The sequence below is a fragment of the Homo sapiens genome, chromosome 11, assembly GCF_000001405.40.
Source record: "Homo sapiens chromosome 11, GRCh38.p14 Primary Assembly".
NCBI lineage: Eukaryota > Metazoa > Chordata > Mammalia > Primates > Hominidae > Homo > Homo sapiens.
The window spans coordinates 116,742,512-116,748,172 of NC_000011.10; the positions used below are offsets into that span (position 1 = coordinate 116,742,512).

General features: G+C 40.1%; 1 annotated feature.

The window, feature by feature from the left end:
• Positions 456–555: a silencer, noted in NCBI's record as "silent region_3922". NCBI's record gives its function as "represses an Ori minimal core promoter by ATAC-STARR-seq in GM12878 lymphoblastoid cells {active_cell/tissue: GM12878}" and the evidence as "EXISTENCE:reporter gene assay evidence [ECO:0000049][PMID:35858748]".

Below are 5,661 nucleotides of genomic sequence, written 5' to 3' on the forward strand. Positions count from 1 at the left end.
AGATGGGGTCTCATTGTCCAGGCTGGTCCTGAACTCCTGTGCTTAAGTGATCCTCCCACTTGACCTCTTGAGTAGCTGGAATTACAGGAATGCACTACCATTCCCGGCCTGTTTTAATATTTTTAAATTCAGATATAATTATCATACCATAAAGTTCACCCTTTTAAAATGTACAATTCAGAGGTTTTTCACATTGCTCATGGCTTCTTAAGTCTAAACTTGAAAGTGGAGGAGGCGCAAGAAAGGAGATTTGATTAAAAGGAAAAAAAAAATCTTCCACGTAGAGAAAGGTTTCCAAAGCCCAAGTAAGGGAGATTCTGGTCAAAACCTAAATACTAGGTCTCTCTCTTGAAAATCTTTTCCATATTGGAAACAGGATTATGTTCTAGATCTAAGGCCTACTATTATTAAGTGTGTATAGACCCAGGGCTCCGCTTTCGCCAGTCTAGAAAAGGCATATCACACTGCCCTCTAGTAGACAGCCTAGGAAATGACAGTCAGCTAGGGACTGGACAGGCTTGCGATCTCTGCCCTACAAGATGTGCTGTGTTCTCACACTTACAGGCAGAGAAATTGGAGGGGGTGGAGTTTTTAAATGTTCACTAATGCCTACTAAATAAACATAGAGCTCACCTGAAACAGAATCTAACTGCTTTCCCTACACCTTAATCTCTGCTTAAAAATAAATAATACATTCCTGCGCATGCCTGTAATCTCAGCTACTCGGAAGACTGAGGCAGAATTGCTTGAACCCAGGAGGTGGAGGTCGCAGTGAGCCGAGATCGTGCCACTGCACTCCAGCCTAAGCGACAGAGCGAGACTCGGTCTCAAAAAAATAAAAAATGAATAAATAAATAAATAATACATTCCTTTGTTAAGGGAAAAAAAGTGATTTCAGATTTCTAAAGCCTCTGAGCCTCTTAAGAGTGAGGTGTTCCTAAGAAACAGCGTGAGGGTCCCACAAAAATGAAGTTAAAACCCGAACCCATACAGAAACAAAACCTAGCTGTGCAGAAGGGGTGTGACAATGAGCTAGGAGTTGAATGCCTCCTCTGCCACCTTGGGAAGGCGAGACAGTAGGATCACAGCCCACAAGTTTCAAGCATGCCATAGCACTCCAGCCTGGGCAACACAGCAAGATCTGAGCTGTAAAAATAAATAAAGTACTTCCATCTCATAAATGCTGATTCTCGACACAATTCCAGTTTACATTTTATCTCCCTACCTAAGCCCTTCTCTGACAATCACTGGCCAGAGTTAGGGAAGAGACATCCCTAACTTGGTAGTGACCCCAACTGATACTCCCTTCGGGATTTTCAGGTCTCAAAACTATTTAAAAATCTATGTATGTCTCAAATGGCTGGGGGATGGACAGCCTTTCTTTACAAGTCTGAGAAGTATATAATGTGGCAAAGATAATATGTTATGTGTCCAACAACATCCATTTATCCCTTCTTCCTGATGCATATTATATGCCTCGGGCTCCTTTGCATTAAGAGGGAGCCTTGTGACTAGGTTCTTACCAACAGAATATGAGTAGAAGTGTGTGCCGCTTCTAGAGCTAGCCGGTAACATCTGCCAAGCAATCCTTCACGTTCTGCTCAACTCACTAAAATGGTAATGCCCAACACAACCTTGGAAGCCATAGTGAAGCTGGCATCAGCCTGATCCCTAAACAACTTCATAGAGTATCTCACTCCTACTTTCTCAACCTGAAACGACCTGCATGTTACACGAGTGAGCAGGGGGGAAACACATGTCTATTTGGAGTCTGCTTTAGCAGTTTAGTCTACCCTAACTAATATGGGTACTAAATGTCAATTCCATGAAACCAGACCTTGCTTCTGGAGCTGCACTTAGGGCTTCAGGTGCACAGAACTGAGTTATCACAGGCCTGAGTTCATGATACACGATCACTTTCATCCATGCAAAGCCCTCTTTGCTTCCCTTTCCCCGCTTCATTCTCCATTCTAGTCTCATTCTGTTCCCTCCCACAAACCTATTCTACTGATTAAGGTGTATATCCTCCTTATAAAATAATATCACTTCATGTGTTTATATAGCTGATTTTTGCTTTAAATTTCACTGTTCCTTATTTTTTCACTTGAAGTCTACCATTTCACGAAATTCCTAACAGCTTGCATTTGACTTAAAAAAAAAACTCCATTATATGCATATACCACATTTTACTTATCAATTTCCTTAGTGATGGACATCTAAGTTTTTTCCAAATTCTTGCCACCCAAACTATACATAGAAAAACATCCTTGTATCTACTCCTCAAGGATTTATGCAAATTTCTCCGAAGGATATAGCCAGGAGTGGAACTACTTTGAAGTATGTACATAAAGTATTAGTTATCTGTTGCTGTATAACAATTGTTATGGTTATAACTGTAACTGCTGTTGCTTACCTACCCTAAATGCAAACTTCCTTCCCTAAATGCTTGAGCAGCTTAAAACAATAACAACCCATAGAATGAGAAAAGTATTTGCAAATCATGTATCTAGTAAAGGACTTATAACCAAGATATATATAAAGAACCCTTTACGTAAGAGAGTGCCTGTGTATGTGTATATATAACCAATAACCCAAATGAAAAATGGGCAAAGGATTTGAATAAAGATTTCTCCAAAAGATATATAAAGATGCTCAACATCACTAGCCACCAGGAAAATGCAAATCAAAACCATAATGATATACCACCTCCCACCCATCAGGATGGCTATAATCAAAAAGACAAATAATAAGTGTTGGCAAGCATGTGGAGAAATTGGAACGCGCATACATTTCTTTGGAATAAGTTTGGCAGTTCCTCAAAAAGTTAAACATGGAGTTACATATGACCCAGCAATTTCACTCCTAGGAATATATCCACCCCTAGGAATATAAAAAAGAAAATATACATCCATACAAAAACTTATACATGAATTGTTCACAGCAGCATTATTCATAATACCCAAACAGTGGAAACAACTCGAATGCCCATCAAATGATGCATAAATAAAATGTGGTATATCCGCACAAGGGAATATTATTCAGCCTTAAAAAGGAATGTAGGGCTGATACATATTACAACATGGATGAACCTTGAAAACATTATGCTAAGCACAAAAAGCCAGACACAAAAGGCCAAATATTATATGACAGTCTCACTCATATCTTATTAATATATGAAAGTCCAGAACGGGCAAACTATACAGGCAGAAAGTAGATTAGTGTTTGCCTAAGGCTGGAGAAGTTAGGGGAAAGTGGGGAGTGACTGCTAATGGGTACAAGGTTTCTTGTACCCACAAGATGATAAAAATGTTTTAAAATTAAATGTGGTGATGGTTGCATAACTCTGTGATATATTACAAGCCACTGAATCATACACCTTAAGTGGGTGAATTGTGTAGTATGTAAATTATATCTCAATAAAGCAGTTTTTAAAAAATACTAAACATGGCCAGGCGCAGTGGCTCATGCCTGTAATCCCAGCACTTTGGGAGGCCGAGGTGGGCAGATCACGAGGTCAGGAGTTCAAGACCAGCCTGGCCAACATAGTGAAACCCCACCTCTACTAAAAATACAAAAATTAGCTGGGCATGGGCACCTGTAGTCCCAGCTACTCGGGTGGCTGAGGCAGGAGAATTGCTTGAACCCGGGAGGCAGAGGTTGTGGTGAGCCAAGATCACACCACTGCACTCCAGCCTGGGAAACAGAGTAAGACTCCACCTCAAATAAATAAATAAATACTAAACATTTATTATCTCAGAGTTTCTTTGGTTCAAGAATCTGGAGCTGGATGTTCTGGGTCAGGATCTCTCACGAGGTCGATCAGGGCTGCAAGCCTGAGGGAGGGCTTGAGTAGAGCTGGCGGATGCACTTCCAAGGTGATTCACTCCTACAGAAGGCAATTTGGTGCTGGCTGTTGGTGAGAGGCCTCAGAGCTTCTCTACCTGGGCCTCTCCAGAGGGCTGCTTGAGTGTCCTCATGATATGGAAGCTGGCATCCTCCAGAGCAAGGATCCAAGATAGCACAAGGCAGATATTTTAATACCTTTTATGACCTACCTTCGTAAGTCACACATTTCTAGTACATCCTATTGGTTACACAGGTCAACCTTATTTATTGTGGGAGGGGACTATACAAGGGTTTATATACCAGAGGGCAGAGATCATTAGGGGCCATCGTGGAAGCTGGCTGCCCTACTTGATGATAATGATGACAATGATAATAATAACAGCTAATAATTCTGTGACACTACTGTGTGCCAGGCATTGTTCTAAGCTTACAATAAACCTATGAGGTAGGTACTATTATGTCTATTTCACAGACGAAAAAACTAAGGCATAGAGAAGTTAACTGGCTTACCAAAGGTTACACAGCTAGCAAACGACATAGCTGGGATTCAAATTCAGGCAGTATAGCTCCAGAGCCACACTATTAAAAACTGCAATATCGCTCCCTAGGTATTACTTGATTTCAGTAAGTTTCATTCATTTGTTCTCCAAAATGAATACACCAGCTGAAATATTCCATGTAGCCGGGCACAGTGGTTCATGCCTGTAACCCCAGCACTTTGGGAGGACAAGGCGGGCGGATCACCTGAGGTCAGGAGTACGAGATCAGCCTGGCCAACATGGTGAAACCCCATCTCTACTAAAAAAACAAAAATTGTGTAGCGCATGCCTACAGTCCTGGCTACTCAGGAGGCTGAGGTGGGAGGATTGCTTGAACCTGGGAGGCAGAGGCACCACTGCACTCCAGCCTGGATGACAGAGTAAGACTCTGTCTTTTTAAAAAAAAAAAAAAAAAGAAAGAAAGGAAAAGAGAAAAGAAAAGAAGAGAAAATATTCCATGAGTTCTGATTCCCCATCAGATCAGTCTCTTGCTTATTTTTGCCAAACTAAGATGTAAGGTAGAAACTCAGTGTTTTAATTAGCGTATCTGTAATTACTAGTGAGGTAATATACTTATGAGCCACTCTGGTTTTCTCTTTAGATTTTACCTATTCATATTTTTGCATATTTTTATTTCATCTGTCTTTTTCTTCATGATTTGCAGAAGCTCTTTCTATATTCTATCCCTTGTATATGCAATCCTTGTCAGTTTTAGACACTGCAAATATTTTCTCCTAATCCGTATCCATCTTTAGCTTTGACTATGGGATGCTTTGCTAAATAGAAACCTTTAATTACAAAGTAATCAAAGCTATCAAATCTTATGCATTGTGCTTTGGGATCTTATTTAAGAAATTTATCTTTACCCCAAGGCACAAAAACATTTGCCATTTGTTCCTACTAGCTGTATATCACGTTATCTTTCATTTAGGTCTTTAATCACTTTGGGATTTTTGTTTTATATGGTATGAGGGTTCAACTTTATTTTTGTCCATATAATAAGCCAATTTTCTGAGCACTATTATCCATCTCTTCCCTACTAACTTGTGACACTATCTTTATCATACACCATGTCTCCAAATATCTGTGTGTCTATTCCTGAGTCTAGTTTAGTACTAATTCCTGTTTTCTCAGAGGAAGGATCTATCACTAAGAAAGTTTTTACTCACACTGCTTTCTAGATTAGTGAAAAATTCAACCACCACCCCCCAAATCCCCACAGGTTCAATATTAGCCTGTATTCTTCCCAAAACAGAATACCCAGTTAAGAAGATAA